A 19,951-nucleotide genomic window follows, 5' to 3' on the forward strand; every position below is an offset into this window, starting at 1 on the left:
ATTTGTACTCATTAAGTACTTCCAGTTCCAAGTGCCCTAGCAATGTATGAACTTTCTTTCTCCCTTATTGTAAAATATTGATTTTACTTCTCACACCCTACAACCCTTAAATGTGTGAGCCATTTTTAATGCTCGTTTATGTGTATATATCATCTTTCCTCCACTGGGTGGTTAATTGAAGGCAGGACCACGTCCCTTAAATCACTGTATGCCCAGGACCTTAAAAAGGCCCAGTACATTGTAGATACGAATCAAGTGTGTGTGCCTGCCTGTGTGCAGCTGTGTGTGGGGGTGGGGGTGTTTAGTTGGAGTGACTATCCATAAACAGACCCTAAGCAACCAATTATCTATAATATAGGGAAGCTTACAAGGAAGATGCCCCTCCCTATGGCAGTAAACTTATTTTGCAAATAAGGGCATGTCGAATTTACATGTCATTTACAATTTCATTTGAAGACCCAGAATTTGAACTTGCCCTTCTGCCTACTCTGCCGATTGTTCATTTATTCATTCGCTATTATTGAATACAACCAAAAACCAGGCATTGTGCTAGGAGATGGGACACACATCTGCTAGGAGGTGGTGAGCACAAAGGACAGAGGCCCTGCCCCTATGTCACCTGCAGCTGGGAGGGAGGCCCACAACCATGATGAATAGGCAAATCTTTATGGTAGGTAAAACCAAACGGATCTCTGTGAGCACATATTCTGGGGAGGTCCTAGTTGAAACCCATAGAAAGACTTTCAGCTAAATCATACTCTTCTCTCCAATGTGTAGACTTTACATTTGAGTAAGAGTTCATAGACAGCCTTGGGTGCTGTGGTTTACATTCTTAGACATATTTATTAGTATCTCATCCTATTGTTCCTAGAATTCCCTTAGGCTAAAATCTTTGGTATTTGAACTCGAACCAGTTCCCAGTTAAACCCAGGAAGAAAAAAGGCAGATCATTGCATTATAGCATAAATATAACACAAGAAATGTAAAAGTAGCATTTATTATGCACCACACAATGCAAGTCTACATAGTTAAGTACAAATCAAATCATATATGCCCAAAAGACATTTATATGCTTTTGGCTGCCTATTCCATAAAAGATTTATGGCAATCCGTCTCTACCCTAAATGGCTTTAGAATTTAGATAAATCTGATTTCCACCTACTAGTTGCTGAATATTTTCCTATGCTGCATCTAAATTACTTTTCCAATGTGTGTACATCCTTGTGGGTACTCTCACTGTTGGATGGAATCATGTTTGCAATATCTTACGTAAGATAAGTAAGATATCATGCTCAGTGACACCACTCTTGGGTGAGCAAAAGGTGTTTCTTGTTTCCTGGTAAGTTCCAAATGTCTGTAGGCTTCAGAGAAACAGACCAGAATACACATCTATTTCTCAGCTTCGGTGTGGAAGAATAAAGCCACCAAACTGTTGGAATTAAATAACGAATTCTAAAATATTCAGGAATGCCTAAACTTGAAGTGAAATGCTTTGCAATGCCTCCTCCCCCTTTTTTAATTAGCAGACTTACTTGTCCTGGATTTCATTCCCTGAAGATGAAATTTCAATATTTTCAGAGTAACTTCAGGTAGCTATGAGCTTAACTGAATCACTGTGGTATGCCAATCACAGGTAGAAATAGAGATGGAAATTCTCTATGAGTTTCCTAAGTATCATCAAAGGCCCTGTGAAGGGGTTGTACATTTGAAGTAAGAGTTGGCAAAGAATCTGAATTTTTCAGCAAAACTAAATGTTCAAACATTAAACTTTTTCTCACATTGGCAAAATTGAGCTATTAAATATTGGAGTGGTCTCTGGCAGTTTTCCAAATCAGGGCTAATTTCCAGGTTAGTCCTATACAAAGGGGTCAATCCTATGCCACTAGCATCATCTTGTTAGCTATATCAGGAAATTGAGGAAATATGGGGGAAATTTGCCTTTCAAACCACAAAGAACTTCCAAAAGGTTTCATTCCATAATGATGATAGAATAGATGATGGTAGGAGCAGAGGTCAGGTTTAAAATAAAATATCCAAAATGCTTCAAGGTGCCTTATATAACTGCTAGAAATACTGAATTCATTCTCTTCTTTTGAAAGCGCACTTGAGATCTTCCAATCCAGCATTATGAAGACCGCATATCTAATGACCTAATTTAGAATCAGCACTTGTCACAATCCATGCTCTAAATCATGGCAAGTTCCTTGGGGATTTCTGCCTCTATACAGCAAAAATAATGCCTGAGAAAAGATAGAGGCCGAAGTTAGCCACCAAGGAGAATAGAGCTGTTCTCCAAAGCAGAGAGCGAGAGAGCAGATGGGACAGACCTTTGGTCAGCAGCGAATCAAAAGGAGCATTTACCAGGGGCTAGGCAGAGAAAAACAGAATCCACTCACAATTTGAAACCAGGTAGAGCTTGCAAAGGAACAAAGCCAGGCAAGAGAGAAAAGTTGAGGGCTCAGTCTCAATGCCAAGAGAGGAGGAAGAATAAGAATGTGTTTCTGCTATGTGCTCAAGCCCTGTTCATAAAGACCCAGAACTGCCTAGCGAGGGGAGATGACTTGGCTTAGGTCAAAGCAACAAATCCCAAGTCCTCCTTCATTGATATCTGTCATTAGAAACATTTAAATAGAGTCTAAATGAGCCTGTCAAGAATGCTCTAGAAGCGTTGGACTGACTGTGAGAGCTCTGCTAAGCCTTTAAATTCCATAATTCAGCAATAAAACTACTCCTTTAAATCATTGCTATTTCTCAGTCTTGAAAAGTAAATAGTGCCACATTTGAGGTACCTTGCTGCAAAGCAATACTTTGACTTGGTCTGGATTCCCAAAGAACAAATGACTTCTTGTGTTTTTCTTTTCACTATTGAATTCAATAGATATTAGTTCAATGTCAGACTGTGTCATCTCTCAAGGACGTATAGGATGCCTACTGCACTTAATGCCATAGGGAATGAGGCACAATCAGAACATCAGGTACAAACATGAAGATTTGAAAGTTTGTTGTTGTTTTCTTAAAATCTGCTGCAAAAATCTAACCTGAACAGCAGTAGGAAGATATTTCTGATGTCTCCCACATTTATCCCAATTTGAGGACCAGGATTTTGCCTGAAAAGGACCCCATCTATCTTTTCAGGGGCATGCATGCCCTTAATATGGTGTGATCAGCTATCCAAGAAACTCCAAGCCTAAAACCAGACAGGATTATTCAGACTGAACTTTTCAACACATTCTCAATTCCCTACGAAACTCAACAAAACTAAGCATTGTGTTTTCAAACCTTCAAAGATTCACTTCCTACTTTTTTAAAATTTTTATTTATATCCTTCTTAGTCTTTCCTACAAAACATGTGTTTGTCAACTTGGGAGTAATGTTAAAAGTACCGGCCGGGCACCATGGCTCACACCTGTAATCCCAGCACTTTGGGAGGCTGAGGCGGGCGGATCATGAGGTCAAAAGATCAAGACCATCCTGGCCAACATGGTGAAACCCCATCTCTACTAAAAATACAAAAATTAGCTGGGCATGGTGACACACGTCTGTAGTCCCAGCTACTCGGGAAGCTGAAGCAGGAGAATCGCTTGAACCCAGGAGGCGGGGGTTGCAGTGAGCCGAGATCGCACCACTGCACTCCAGCCTGGTGACAGAGCAAGACTCTGTCTCAAAAAAAAAAAAAAAAAAAGTACCACACCACCGCGAAAATATATGTCATGTGGAAACAGACTAGAAATTATCATTGAACTCCCTGGGAACATATGATAGAGCCCAAAATGTTGGAGTGGTTTTAGGTTGAATAGTGTCTTGAGGGCTCTGTAAAATGCTGGGTGTAACATATGGTCAAAGTCGGCTTTAGATTCACTGACAAACTGCATTCAACAGAACCCTGCTATCATCCCCAAGACTTATTTAGAAGTTTCCTGAAAGAAAACATGTTATTAGTACAAGCAATTTCTCCACCAAGCATTACAAAACCTACCCAAACATTACATTACAGAGGGGCCAATCTGAGACATGAAAAATGACACCAAAGAGTTTCATAAACACAGAATAAAGGGAAAACTGATATTCTAGTGAAGACAGTGCTAAAAGCCATTATCAGAAGATATGGATTACATCCTCTAAGAATACGAGGGAGGGAGATTGTGTTTATAGATATTTGGCCATGTCAGAAAAAAAAAATATTCTACCTGAGACTTAGGAACTTTAAATACTCTCCTCCAGAGTGCATGTGTTTCCCGAGGGAGTGAGAGAAGCTGTGAACAGGTACATTCACAGACCTTGTTTGGTTGCTGAAGGAGTATGCATGACTTGAATTCTGATGCAGGCTCACACAGTGAATCAAATGATTTGGTGCTGTCAGAAAAGACCATTCTTCTCTAGAGTAAAGCTGGATGAGGTCACTGTCTCCAAAACTGGATTATATTAAATTCTTAGGTTGCAAAAATTGTTTTGTGTATGGTGACTTTCCCTTAACTTGACCAAGTAAAACGGCCTTGTCCCTGAGCAAAAACCAGCCTGCCTTCATGTCTTTAAACAGATTGTTTTCCAAAGCTTACAAATGACCTCCAGCCTATAAAATATTCACATTGGTTTTTTTCCTTCAATATTTATTATTTAGAGTGTAGCCCTTTAAATATTCATCATATTTTTCTAAAGATATGGTATATATTATTTACATCTGGTCACATTATATTTTCATAGTGATGAAATGGACACATTGGAATCTTTCTGAAGTCAGGAACAAATAGGGTATTGGGCCAGATGCACACAACAGGTAGCCAGTGAGGTGGATTTGCGTCCAGAGATGATTGAGGGAAAATGGCAGGTGGCCTTCTCACAGTGACTACTCAGGAAAGATCCAGAGGAAATAAAGGGTCCAGGGTAGATGGACTTGGGGCCTCCTGTGGGTAGGTAGACAGCCATGGGCTGAAGGAGAAAGTCAAATATGTCTCATCAGAGAATTCACATGGGATACAAAAGCAATAATGGAGTTCACAAACACAACTCAGAATTCAACAGGTCACCTCCTTAGAAAACCAAAGGGAAGGTGTTGGAATGTGTTTATGAGGATTGCAAAGACCCTTTAAGATGGGATTTATTCCATTTTTAATTAATTTCTCATGCTTTTTCCTTAAGCCAAGGTTTTTGAGGTCCCCCAGGTGTCCATCTTACCTGTGTAAATTACAACTGGAATGACATTTAAGACAATAGTAGTCTGGAATCCTAATTAGAAGATTGGGGGGATCATCTGAGATCTCTCTCTCTCTCTTGCTCTGGGGGTAATCGGGTCAAGGAAAATGAGTTTTGGTGTTTTTTTGTTTTTTGGGGTTTTTTTTCCCTAAAAGCCTGAATGAATTTGTCCATGCCTCCTTTACTCTCTAAAGTTACATTTGGAAAGAAGTCGCTGGCAGGTAATCAATCATTTTTGAAATCTTACTTCCCTTAGCAGATCATCAGCAATGCTGTTCGTGTATTTATTCATTTGACAAATATTTATGAAGCACTGGTACACACAAAGCTCTGTTTACTGAGTCTCTGGCTGTGGAGCAGTTATTCCCTGGGAGCCAAGAAGTACAGCTGTTCTTTAGCAAATGAGTAGCTGAAGATTAGAGTGGTGGCTAAAAGCCATGGCTTCTACATGGACAAAATCATCCTGTTCTTGGAGGCTAAAACTTGGGAGGCTGTAATGCATTATTTTTGTTTTTGATCCCTGGGTGAAACTTATTAATTATTCTGCTTCCTAATCTTTCCCATGACAAGAGTTCAGCAACCACAAAAGAACAAATAGCAGCGAAGCCTTATTTGCTTGAGAAGGAATATGGTGGTGTTCCCAGGGAGGGAATTTCCAGACAAATTAATATGTGCTCCCATAGCCCTTTGCTTAGCTAGGACTATAATGTTTGTTCCTTGTCTGTTACCCCTACTAGGCAGTGCTACAAACCCTTCAAGGATAGAGACTGTGTACAAGTCATATTTTGCATTCCCAGAGTCTACTATAAAACCTGTCTTATAAAAGGCACGTTAGAAGTGTTTAATGAAGGAATACTAGCCACAAAAGCCTTTTTTCTTATTTAACCAATGTTTTGGAACTTTTTCTGAACTGTACTACATTTTCTTGTCTCATTAAATCGATTTCGTTGAATGTTATTGAATTTTTACTTGCTAAGTCACTGATTTAAAATATATGGTATGAGTCCCTGTGCTATAGACTGGCGATCTGCAAACATTTTTGGTCTTGCACCTCTATCAGCAAAATATTCCGAATGATAAACAACCAGAGTACCTATAAATATTTATACATAAATTGTAACATAAGCACTACTGAATTAACACATTCAGTACCTCATGAAATTTACATAAAAACAGAAACTTTTGAAAGATGAGAAAAAGATATTCTTTTTTATTTCTATTTTGTAATGTTCCAGATGTATCAAGAATAAGAGGAATATGATGCCTGCCATTATATTGTTTACTTGTGCTTGCTTTGTTTGAAATGAAAGAAATCCAAAGTTTCTTTTCAAAAGCTATTTAAGTCCTATTCCATTGAATGAGTTAGTTAAAACTAATTAATCTAATCCATAAATGCCTTAGCCAGTACATATGCTGGATCAATACACCAGCAGCAAGTTAATGGTGGTGGAGGTGCCAATGCTGCCCCTCCCCACTATGAAAGTCTTACTCTGTCCCTAAGATAATTGAGAAATGGCGATCCCTGTACGGACTGATTGAAATATCAATCTCTAGATTAAATATTAGGAAAGCTTAATTCCTCTTGTATTTTTATAAAGATAGAAATAGGAATTCTAATCCTGAATCACATTGAATCTCTTGCACACCCCCAGAGATGCACACACACTCCTGTCACCAACCCAACACACACACTTCAAAAACCATAGTTATCAACTATGGCCATAGTAAGCCTAGTGGTTAAGAGTAATGATTCCAGCATCTGCATTTGAATTTGAATCTCATCTCCACCATTTACTAGATGTGTGGCAAGTTTTTTAGCCTTTCTAAGGCCTGTTTCCTTTTTGTATAAGGGTGTAATGATAATATTTTAGCACCGTCAGAGTTGTGAAGATCGAATGCACGTGAGGGCCTCAGCTCAGTGAAAGCTCACAGTTAATCCCCATTTCTTTGAGTCAATTACTGCCCTCTGCTGAACCCAGCAGTTGCCATGTGCCCTGACAACAAAGTCTTGTCTCTTTCCCAACTTTTCATTATTTTTAACTTTTTCAATACTGAAATGGTGGGGAAAAAAATAGTAAAATGAACATCCATATAACCCCCATACAGATTCAATAATGGTTGACTATTTTGCTATTTTCAAGTAAGTAAAAGATGCAGTGACACATTATCCCTAAGTATCTCAGCGTGAATCTCCTAAAAGCAAGGACAGTCTCCTATACAGCCACAACATCATGATCACACTTAAGAAAATTAGCACTTATTCAATAATATCAACTACTATTTATTCAACATTCAAAATTATCAAAGTTCTTACTTACAGCTGGGTCCCTACCTCCAAATCCAGGAGTCAGTTTCTCTTCCTTCCTTCCTTTCTCTTCCTTCTTTCCTTCCCTCCCTCCTTCCTTCCTTTCTCTTTTTTCCTTCTCTTTGTTTCTTTCTTGCTTGCTTACTTTCTTGCTTTCTTCTTTCACTTGCCCTCTTTTGAAGCATTAAGGCCAGTTGTCTCATATAATATCTCATCACTGGGGGGAGGAGCCAAGATGGCCGAATAGGAACAGCTCCAGTCTACAGCTCCCAGCGTGAGTGACGCAGAAGACGGGTGATTTCTGCATTTCCAACTGAGGTACCAGGTTCATCTCACTAGGGAGTGCCAGACAGTGGGCGCAGGTCAGTGGGTGCGCGCACCGTGCGCGAGCCGAAGCAGGGCGAGGCATTGCCTCACTTGGGAAGCGCAAGGGGTCAGGGAGTTCCCTTTCCGAGTCAAAGAAAGGGGTGACTGACGGCACCTGGAAAATCGGGTCACTCCCACCCGAATACTGCACTTTTCCGACGGGCTTAAAAAACGGCGCACCACGAGAGTATATCCCGCACCTGGCTCGGAGGGTCCTACGCCCACGGAGTCTCGCTGATTGCTAGCACAGCAGTCTGAGATCAAACTGCAAGGCGGCAGCGAGGCTGGGGGAGGGGCGCCCGCCATTGCCCAGGCTTGATTAGGTAAACAAAGCAGCCTGGAAGCTCGAACTGGGTGGAGCCCACCACAGCTCAAGGAGGCCTGCCTGCCTCTGTAGGCTCCACCTCTGGGGGCAGGGCACAAACAAACAAAAAGACAGCAGTAACCTCTGCAGACTTAAATGTCCCTGTCTGACAGCTTTGAAGAGAGCAGTGGTTCTCCCAGCAGGCAGCTGGAGATCTGAGAATGGGCAGACTGCCTCCTCAAGTGGGTCCCTGACCCCTGACCCCCAAGCAGCCTAACTGGGAGGCACCCCCCAGCAGGAGCACACTGACACCTCACACGGCAGGGTATTCCAACAGACCTGCAGCTGAGGGTCCTATCTGTTAGAAGGAAAACTAAAAAACAGAAAGGACATCCACACCAAAACCCCATCTGTACATCACCATCATCAAAGACCAAAAGTAGATAAAACCACAAAAATGGAGAAAAAACAGAACAGAAAAACTGGAAACTCTAAAAAGCAGAGCGCCTCTCCTCCTCCAAAGGAACGCAGTTCCTCACCAGCAATGGAACAAAGCTGGATGGAGAATGACTTTGACGAGCTGAGAGAAGAAGGCTTCAGACGATCAAATTACTCTGAGCTACGGGAGGACATTCAAACCAAAGGCAAAGAAGTTGAAAACTTTGAAAAAAATTTAGAAGAATGTATAACTAGAATAACCAATACAGAGAAGTGCTTAAAGGAGCTGATGGAGCTGAAAACCAAGGCTCGAGAACTACGTGAAAAATGCAGAAGCCTCAGGAGCCGATGAGATCAATTGGAAGAAAGCGTATCAGCAATGGAAGATGAAATGAATTAAATGAAGCGAGAACGGAAGTTTAGAGAAAAAAGAATAAAAAGAAATGATCAAAGCCTCCAAGAAATATGGGACTATGTGAAAAGACCAAATCTACGTCTGATTGGCGTACCTGAAAGTGATGGGGAGAATGGAACCAAGTTGGAAAACACTCTGCAGGATATTATCCAGGAGAACTTCCCCAATCTAGCAAGGCAGGCCAACATTCACATTCAGGAAATACAGAGAACGCCACAAAGATACTCCTCGAGAAGAGGAACTTCAAGACACATAATTGTCAGATTCACCAAATTTGAAATGAAGGAAAAAATGTTAAGGGCAGCCAGAGAGAAAGGTCGGGTTACCCTCAAAGGGAAGCCCATCAGACTAACAGCGGATCTCTCGGCAGAAACCCTACAAGCCAGAAGAGAGTGGGGGCCAATATTCAACATTCTTAAACAAAAGAATTTTCAACCCAGAATTTCATATCCAGCCAAACTAAGCTTCATAAGTGAAGGAGAAATAAAATACTTTACAGACAAGCAAATGCTGAGAGATTTTGTCACCACCAGTCCTGCCCTAAAAGAGCTCCTGAAGGAAGCGCTAAACATGGAAAGGAACAACCGATACCAGCCACTGCAAAATCATGCCAAAGTGTAAAGACCATCGAGACTAGGAAGAAACTGCATCAACTAACGAGCAAAATCACCAGCTAACATCATAATGACAGGATCAAATTCACACATAACAATATTAACTTTAAATGTAAATGGACTAAATGCTCCAATTAAAAGACACAGACTGGCAAATTGGATGAAGAGTCAAGACCCATCAGTGTGCTGTATTCAGGAAACCCATCTCACGTGCAGAGACCCACATAGGCTCAAAATAAAAGGATGGAGGAAGATCTACCAAGCAAATGGAAAACAAAAAAAGGCAGGGGTTGCAATCCTAGTCTCTGATAAAACAGACTTTAAACCAACAAAGATCAAAAGAGACAAGGCCATTACATAATGGTAAAGGGATCAATTCAACAAGAAGAGCTAACTGTCCTAAATATATATGCACCCAATACAGGAGCACCAAGATTCATAAAGCAAGTCCTGAGTGACCTACAAAGAGACTTAGACTCCCACACATTAATAATGGGAGACTTTAACACCCCACTGTCAACATTAGACAGTTCAACGAGACAGAAAGTCAACAAGGAAACCCAGGAATTGAACTCAGCTCTGCACCAAGCGGACCTAATAGACATCTACAGAACTCTCCACCCCAAATCAACAGAATATACATTTTTTTCAGCACCACACCACACCTATTCCAAAATTGACCACATACTTGGAAGTAAAGCTCTCCTCAGCAAATGTAAAAGAACAGAAATTATAACAAACTATCTCTCAGACCACAGTGCAATCAAACTAGAACTCAGGATTAAGAATCTCACTCAAAACTGCTCAACTACATGGAAACTGAACAACCTGCTCCTGAATGACTACTGGGTACATAACGAAATGAAGGCAGAAATAAAGATGTTCTTTGAAACCAACGAGAACAAAGACACAACATACCAGAATCTCTGGGACGCATTCAAAGCAGTGTGTAGAAGGAAATTTATAGCACTAAATGCCCACAAGAGACAGCAGGAAAGATCCAAAATTGACACCCTAACATCACAATTAAAAGAACTAGAAAAGCAAGAGCAAACACATTCAAAAGCTAGCAGAAGGCAAGAAATAACTAAAATCAGAGCAGAACTGAAGGAAATAGAGACACAAAAAATTAATGAATCCAGGAGCTGGTTTTTTGAAAGGATCAACAAAATTGATAGACTTCTAGCAAGACTAATAAAGAAAAAAAGAGAGAAGAATCAAGTAGACACAATAAAAAAATAAGGGGGATATCACCACCGATCCCACAGAAATACAAACTACCATCAGAGAATACTACAAACACCTCTATGCAAATAAACTAGAAAATCTAGAAGAAATGGATAAATTCCTTGACACATACACTCTCCCAAGACTAAACCAGGAAGAAATTGAATCTCTGAATAGACCAATAACAGGATCTGAAATTGTGGCAATAATCAATAGCTTACCAACCAAAAAGAGTCCAGAACCAGATGGATTCACAGCCGAATTCTACCAGAGGTACAAGGAGGAACTGGTACCATTCCTTCTGAAACTATTCCAATCAATAGAAAAAGAGGGAATCCTCCCTAACTCATTTTATGAGGCCAGCATCATTCTGATACCAAAGCCAGGCAGAGACACAACAAAAAAAGAGAATTTTAGACCAATATCCTTGATGAACATTGATGCAAAAATCCTCAATAAAATACTGGCAAAATGAATCCAGCAGCACATCAAAAAGCTTATCCACCATGATCAAGTGGGCTTCATCCCTGGGATGCAAGGCTGGTTCAATATACGCAAATCAATAAATGTAATCCAGCATATAAACAGAGCCAAAGACAAAAACCACATGATTATCTCAATAGATGCAGAAAAAGCCTTTGACAAAATTCAACAACCCTTCATGCTAAAAACTCTCAATAAATTAGGTATTGATGGGACGTATTTCAAAATAATAAGAGCTATCTATGACAAACCCACAGCCAATATCATACTGAATGGGCAAAAACTGGAAGCATTCCCTTTGAAAACTGGCACAAGACAGGGATGCCCTCTCTCACCACTCCTATTCAACATAGTGTTGGAAGTTCTGGCCAGGGCAATTAGGCAGGAGAAGGAAATAAAGGGTATTCAATTAGGAAAAGAGGAAGTCAAATTGTCCCTGTTTGCAGACGACATGATTATATATCTGGAAAACCCCATTGTCTCAGCCCAAAATCTCCTTAAGCTGATAAGCAACTTCAGCAAAGTCTCAGGATACAAAATCAATGTAGAAAAATCACAAGCATTCTTATACACCAACAACAGACAAACAGAGAGCCAAATCATGAGTGAACTCCCATTCACAATTGCTTCAAAGAGAATTAAATACCTAGGAATCCAACTTACAAGGGATATGAAGGACCTCTTCAAGGAGAACTACAAACCACTGCTCAAGGAAATAAAAGAGGATACAAACAAATGGAAGAACATTCCATGCTCATGGGTAGGAAGAATCAATATCGTGAAAATGGCCATACTGCCCAAGGTAATTTACAGATTCAATGCCATCCCCATCAAGCTACCAATGACTTCCTTCACAGAATTGGAAAAAACTACTTTAAAGTTCATATGGAACCAAAAAAGAGCCCGCATCGCCAAGACAATCCTAAGCCAAAAGAACAAAGCTGGAGACATCACACTACCTGACTTCAAACTATACTACAAGGCTACAGTAACCAAAACAGCATGGTACTGGTACCAAAACAGAGATATAGATCAATGGAACAGAACAGAGCCCTCAGAAATAACGCAGCATATCTACAACTATCTGATCTTTGACAAACCTGAGAAAAACAAGCAATGGGGAAAGGATTCCCTATTTAATAAATGGTGCTGGGAAAACTGGCTAGCCATATGTAGAAAGCTGAAACTGGATCCCTTCCTTACACATTATACAAAAATCAATTCAAGATGGATTAAAGACTTAAACATTAGACCTAAAACCATAAAAACCCTAGAAGAAAACCTAGGCATTACCATTCAGGACATAGGCATGGGCAAGGACTTCATGTCTAAAACACCAAAAGCAATGGCAACAAAAGACACAATTGACAAATGGGATCTAATTAAAGAGCTTCTGCACAGCAAAAGAAACTACCATCAGAGTGAACAGGCAACCTACAAAATGGGAGAAAATTTTTGCAACCTACTCATCTGACAAAGGGCTAATATCCAGAATCTACAATGAACTCAAACAAATTTACAAGAAAAAAACAAACAACCCCATCAAAAAGTGGGCAAAGGACATGAACAGACACTTCTCAAAAGAAGACATTTATGCAGCCAAAAAACACATGAAAAAATGCTCATCATCACTGGCCATCAGAGAAATGCAAATCAAAACCACAATGAGATACCATCTCACAGCAGTTAGAATGGCAATCATTAAAAAGTCAGGAAACAACAGGTGCTGGAGAGGATGTGGAGAAATAGGAACACTTTTACACTGTTGGTGGGACTGTAAACTAGTTCAACCATTGTGGAAGTCAGTGTGGCGATTCCTCAGGGATCTAGAACTGGTAATACCATTTGACCCAGCCATCCCATTACTGGGTATATACCCAAAGGACTATAAATCATGCTGCTATAAAGACACATGCACACGTATGTTTACTGTGGCATTATTCACAATAGCAAAGACTTGGAACCAACCCAAATGTCCAACAATGATAGACTGGATTAAGAAATTGTGGCACATATACACCATGGAATACTATGCAGCCATAAAAAATGATGAGTTCATGTCCTTTGTAGGGACATGGATGAAACTGGAAATCATCATTCTCAGTAAACTATCACAAGAACAAAAAACCAAACACCGCATATTCTCACTCATAAGTGGGAATTGAACAATGAGAACACATGGACAAAGGAAGGGGAACATCACACTCTGGGGACTGTTGTGGGGTGGGGGGAGACGTGAGGGATAGCATTGGGAGATATACCTAATGCTAGATGACGAGTTAGTGGGTGCAGTGCACCAGCATGGCACATGTATACATATGTAACTAACCTGCACAATGTGCACATGTACCCTAAAACTTAAAGTATAATAATAAAATAATAATAATAATAATAATATCTCATCACTGGATGTGTCTGATTATTTATGGTGTTACTTAGTTTTTTCCTCTATTGCCAGTATTTCCTGTAAACTGATTTTTTTAAGTCAGAAACTTGATGGGATTCAGGTGAAATATTTGGAGCAAGATTAATTCTTAGGTGAATTTGTCACAGAAGAGTACTTAGATAGTTCTTTCTGGTCATTGGCTTTGCTATTCTGTTTTTAGCAATCATTCCACCTTGTCACCTTCCTCCCTCTTTTGTCTAATTTTACAGTACTGTAATGGTAGGTATGAGAAGGATGCCCTCTCTTCCTAATAGAGTCAAGTGTTCATGGTCCTTTTGACAGGTCTTAAACTAAGAGTGTTTGTCTCTACTGACATCAGAAGTTGCAATTATCAGAAATCAGAATCAGCTCCAGATAAATCCTAAAAGAGGGCTCATGTTTTTCCTATGGACCCCAACAGTATATGTTTGGATCAGTTTCCAGAGACATAACAGTAGTTGTTGTTTAACTTCCAGAATCTATCAATAGCATAGATGAAAAAAGTAATACTTAAATATTACTGGGATTACTAATATTACAGCATTACTAATACAATATTGGAGCGATCGTAAATACTGTTCACAAGTATTGGTAAGAGTTCATTTGTCCTAGAATAGCTCATCCAGGAATCAGAGAAAGGAAATTGTTCTAAATTTTGTATTTTATCCCAAGTCCTTGTTCCCATCTGGTGTGTTATTAATGAATTAGGGCTCACTGTCATTGTCAGTAATATATTTGTACTAAGAGTGTTTGTTAACATAAAGCTTAATTCACAGTTGTGTGCACTTAAGTTTCCAGGAAAAAAAACCAAAAAAACAAAAAAACAAAAACCTCAGGTCCGGAGCTACAGCAGAGCAGTTACATATATTATTCAGAAATATAAATAAATAAAATGAGAAAAACATTTCTAAATGATGTGCAAGTTGAAAGGCCTTCCTGATATTGAAAAATAAACTGCCATCATTCAGATATAAATGAATCAAAGGCATGTTCTTTTCCAGTGGCTAATAGTGTCCATTTTTTCAGCCGTCTGCCTCACCATCACCGTCTGCAGGTGAATTGGCCAGTGTTTCCGTGCAGAATGTTAAAACGGCATCTACATTTCTCACTGCTCCTTTGATGTTATCTCCTTCAACTGCACAATGAAAACGCACAGCTACTGAAATGCCAGAGGGAACACACTCTGATTATAAATGTGCTGGGGTAAACAATGAGAGAAAACCCACATCCCCATCATCGCGACGGGCTCCTCACTTAGCCAAATACAACCCCACAGTTTTCTCCCACCCCTCTTGGGACGATGAACACACAGTATTGTGACCCCAGCTAATTTGTGTTAACCATACAGTCTATGACCTTGTAATAGAATGGGACAATTCAATCCATTATCTTAACCAACATTTATTGAGCATGTACTGTGTGCTTAGACCTGTGTGACCAACTAATCCTGGTTTACCTGGGACGTTCCCATTTTAGTGCTGAAAACTCGTCACCCTGGAATCCCCTAAGCTGTGGCAAATAGGACTATTAGTCACTTGACCCATACTGGACACTGTGGATAAAGATAAATTACAACCCTATTTCTGCCAACAAAAAGCATGTTGTCTAAAAGAGAATCAGAAAAATAAGCCAATTATTAGAGTTTGGAGTGATCAGTAGTTAGAATCATCAAGAGGGCATAGCGCAGCGCAGAAAGCTGAATCTAAATCTAAGCTGGGGACCCAAGAACGCACCCCGAAGAAGACAACGTTTGAGAATAATTTAAAGAATGAGTAGTGCAACATCCACCATTAAATTCTGCACATACTGAAAGGAGACACCTGTGGGGCGGCATGCAACTTTGTTCTTTATCTGAGTCTCAAAATCTGTGTATCTGGTTTAGATTCCCATAACGTGGAGGTAGGATTGTAGTACAAAATCAGAAGAAAGAGAATGCTCATTCTTAGTTTATTTTATTATGGGACAGAATAAACCTGACAGTATTTCAGTCCTAAAGGTCGTGGTCATTTTCTGAACCAGATATAAATATAAAACATGTATTTCTTTCTCTGAGGATTGTTTTGAAAAGAGTAAGAATGAGTGGCCTATTGTGGGCACGCCTTTAATGGAGGTTAGGGCACCAAAGTGGACACTACGTAGAACAAATAAAATGTGAGAAATTGTTTTTCACATTTTCACATTTTACTTTGAAAAAAAAGTCAAACTTAACTGAAAATTGCATTTTTTGAAAAATTTTATACTCTTCATCTAGCTTTGCCGGATATTAAAAAGTTGCCACATTTACCTTTTCTCTTTTTCTTTATACATCTGTATATTTATTGTTATTCTTGATTATTACTGAGCTGTTGTAGAGCAAGTTGTGGAAATTATACCCCTTTCATTTTAAATCCTCTAGCGTGTGTCTCCCAAGAGTACAGTATTCTCCTGTGTTACCACAGTATGATTTTATGTCCAGGAAATTTAACACTACATAATACTATTATCTAATAGAGAGCCAGCATACAAATTTTGCCCACTATCACAATAATGTCTTTTATTGGCAATTATCCTTCTGACCTAGCATTTAGTCCAGAGCCCTCTGCTGCATTTGGCTATCATGTCTCTTATTCTTCATCTGGAAGGACTCTTCAGCTTTTTCTTGTCTTTTATGATGGACATTTTTGATGAGTAGAGGCCAGCTGGTTTTCAGAATGCCCCTGAGTTTCGGTTTGTCTGATATGTCCTCATGATTAGATTCAGATTATAAATTTGGGGCTGCCTAAGTGATGTGTCCATCTTGGGACATCACATCAGGAGGAACAAGTGACCAATTTGTCCCCTTGCTTCATCACTTGATGAAGGTGGCAGCCTGCCAAGTTTCCACACTGTAAAATTACTAGTTTTCCTTTTGTAATTAATAAATAATCTGTGTTACTAGGTACTTTGAGATTCTGTAAATATCCCATTCCCCATCAAATGTTGACTCAACATTTTTTTACGTCTGTATTCGTTTGCTAAGGCCGTCATAACAAAGTACCACAAACTGAGTTACTTAAAACAACAGACATTTACTATCCCACAGTTCTGGGGCTGGAAGTCTGAAATCAAGGTGTCGGCGGGGTTGGGTCCTTCTGAGGGCTAGGAGGAAAGGATCCCTTCTAGACCTCTCTCCTTCGCTTGTAAATGGGCATCTTCTTCCTGTGTCTCTTCATATTTTCTTTCCTCTGTGTGTGTCTGTGTGCTCAAATTTCCCCTTTTTATCAGCACATATCATATTGAGTGAGGGCCCACCCACATGACTTCACTTTAACTTCTTTAGCTCTGTCATGACCCTATCTCAAAATAAAGTCACATTCTGAGGTACCAAGGGTTAGGAATTTAACACGTTAAGGGGAGGAAAAGAATTCAATTCATAACAGATGCATTCCAGCCATCTCTGGACTTTCCCAATGTTCATTATGAAGCCAAAATGAAATTAAATTCCTCTTCCTACCCTTTCTGCAAGTGAAAAGTCAGTGTTCAGCCTGAAGACACTTAAGATGCTGGCACTAAGCTTTTCCTGGCCATCCATCCACAGGGCTGTGAATTTTACACTTACCCGTATTTAGAATGACTTCTCTTTCAGTTCTAGAGATTTTTAAGAGGGTTTGGTTTATTGCTTACCACCCATGTGTGTGCTCTAAGGGCCTGTCATTTGCACTAGAGCATAAGTACCAGCAGCTGAATTAGTGGCAATATTTATTTTTTGCAGAAACAAGGAGTCCATTGGGAAAAGTATTTATCTCTTGGTGCATTTGTTTTGGTACAGTTGTCTGACATGCAAGCAAATGAATTCTAGAGACTATACTTGGGGTGTTCACAATAGGGACTCTCAGCAGGAGAGGGACCCGAAGCCAGGCGTGATGCTTCGTAAGTTTTTAATTCAAAGGATTGAAGGACAGAAAAGATGGAAAACAAAAAGCCAATTACCTGAGAACTCTCGTCTAGAGGAGGACTGAGGGAGAGGAAAGGAGGCTTTCCCGGGCAATAAACCCTGCAGTGCAGTGTCTCTCTCTTAAAACTGTTAAAGAGTTCCTGCTGGTCATATCACAGGTTCTATAACCCTCGCCTGCGTACGTCCTTGTGTAGAAATGGGGAAAGCCTGAGCAGAATACTCACTTGCTTTCCTTGGTTTCTTGATCAGGTCACAGACATAAAAGAGAAATTGAAGCTCTCTAAAAAGGTCTGGTCAGCATTACCCTACACTATCTGCAAGGACGAGAGCGTGACAGCGGGCACGTCCAACGAGGAGGAATGCTGGAACGGGCACAGCAAAGCCAGGTGAGGGTGACTCGATGTGTGCATGGATGGGGGCACAGCACACCCAGCCTTGGAAGACTCTCCTGGCACAACTCTACAAACCTGTTTATGCAAAAAGCAACAGAGGGTGGAGGGACAAGTCATCACTTAGCAACAGCTGTTGAGAGTGACAGGTTTGATGGGCACCTGGGAGCACTTACTCTTAAGGTGCCATTAAGCGTGGAATCCTCATTCAGAATGTCTTGCCTCTGGATGAGGACAGAGGAATGGTGGCAGATGCCAGGTTTCAGATACCCTGAGATCACAAAGAGCCCTTTCATGTTCACTTAATGGCTTTAAGATACTGAAGTTATTTTTATCCATAGTTAAATTTCCAGGGCTCTTTTTTTCATCAAAAGTTAAATAGGAAATGAAAATTCAACTGTTTTTTTCACTCTTGTTGGAAAAAAAATTGAAGTGTTCATTGGCAACGTAACAGAAAATGTCTGAGGGACACTGAGAAATGGTTCTAATAGGCAACACACTTTGGGAAGTCCCATCGGAACCTCCTGACAAGAGACAGCAGTTTTCATCATTCTGCTCTGCTGACCAGTGCTGTGGGGACTTGATATGGAATTTCTGAATTTGTTGATTCAGCCCAGAAACGGGCTTGGCCTGGATTTTCATAGGGTGGGGAGGCTGGATGGGAGGACTGGTTGGGAGTTGGCAGGCAGGGCAGGACACGAGGACAGGAATCTGCCAAAGCCCTCAGCAATGGGGTTGCAAGCGGGTAAAGTAGCTGGTAAATTGGACTCAAGGGATCTTTGAGGATTGACCAGTGGGTGGAGATGCTAAGAGGGGAGTCTGTTCTGGGGCTTGACTGAGCAGTTTCAAGCATATGAAGCAGCTGTGATCAAAAGGAAACAAGAAGGTGTGTGGTTGCCAGGAGCGGTGGCTCACGCCTGTAATCCCAACACTTTGGGGGGCCAAGGTGGGAAGATAGCTTGAGCCCAAGAGTTTGAAACCAGCCTGAGCAACATTGTGAAACCATGTCTCTACAAAAATAAATATAAATCTTTGGCTATTAATATAAAGTGCATGGCTATTAAGTTGAGAAGAAACTGCAGAAGTTAAGCAGGAGGTGCAAGGGAGGTGCACGTTAGGTGTTATTTCTTACCCTGCTGAGTTGCATTTTTTAGCATCTGTTGCTTTATTAGTCCATTCTCATGCTGCTATAAAGAACTTCCCTGAGACTGGGTAATTTATAAAGGAAAGAGGCTTGATTGACCCACAGTTCCCTATAGCTGGGGAGGCCTCAGGAAACTTACAATCATGGCAGAAGACAAAGGCGAAGCAGGTGCCTTCCTCACAAGGTGGCAGGAGAGAGAAGTACAAGTAAAGGGGGAAGAGGCCCTTATAAAAGCACCACATCTCATGAGAACTCACTCACTATCATGAGAACAGCATGAGGGAAACCACCCCCTTGATCCAAGGTCCTGTTCTCAACACATAGGGATTATGGGGATTGCAATTCAAGATGGGAATTGGTGGGGACACAGAGCCAAACCATACCAATTGCTAATGACATTATTAACCATACCAGGAAGAGTTTAGCAAGGTGAAAGCAAGATACCTACACAAAGAGCTCTAACCATTTCAAAATGCTCAAAATATCAATATCAAATCATAGATCATGAGAAGGAAATTAGTTATGATATTAACAACATGCCACTAAAAAATATTTAGCATTTTACCAGTGTCTGGCTTTTTAGCTAGGAGACCTTTGGCCAGAAAATTCAGCTATGAATTAACAGCTTCTAGTGTGTATTTTCCCGATGACTGTACAGAAAGACACTGTGAAGAATGGCCAGATGGCCTAATGAATAAAATGCTTGGTTTTTTGAGCTTCTCTGTTTCCCATCTGTGT

The 19,951-nt window shown here is 40.3% G+C and overlaps 1 protein-coding gene across 4 annotated transcripts in view, besides 1 other annotated feature; it reads left to right on the forward strand.

The window, feature by feature from the left end:
- The window catches only part of GPC6 (glypican 6), a 1,191,492-nt gene that overhangs the window by 1,147,956 nt on the left and 23,585 nt on the right, over positions 1-19,951 (forward strand). For all 4 annotated transcript variants that reach the window (XM_047429990.1, NM_005708.5, XM_017020300.2 and 1 more), the window contains one exon: positions 17,930-18,066. In XM_047429990.1, the coding sequence (XP_047285946.1) occupies positions 17,930-18,066 (137 nt within the window). The remainder of the gene's footprint in view (positions 1-17,929; positions 18,067-19,951) is intronic.
- Positions 7,324-7,986: an enhancer, noted in NCBI's record as "OCT4-NANOG-H3K27ac-H3K4me1 hESC enhancer chr13:95024062-95024724 (GRCh37/hg19 assembly coordinates)". NCBI's record gives its function as "activates a minimal SCP1, AML or CMV promoter by ChIP-STARR-seq in naive H9 embryonic stem cells {active_cell/tissue: H9 hESC(naive)}" and the evidence as "EXISTENCE:reporter gene assay evidence [ECO:0000049][PMID:30033119]".

This window comes from Homo sapiens, chromosome 13, assembly GCF_000001405.40.
Source record: "Homo sapiens chromosome 13, GRCh38.p14 Primary Assembly".
Taxonomy (NCBI): Eukaryota; Metazoa; Chordata; class Mammalia; order Primates; family Hominidae; genus Homo; species Homo sapiens.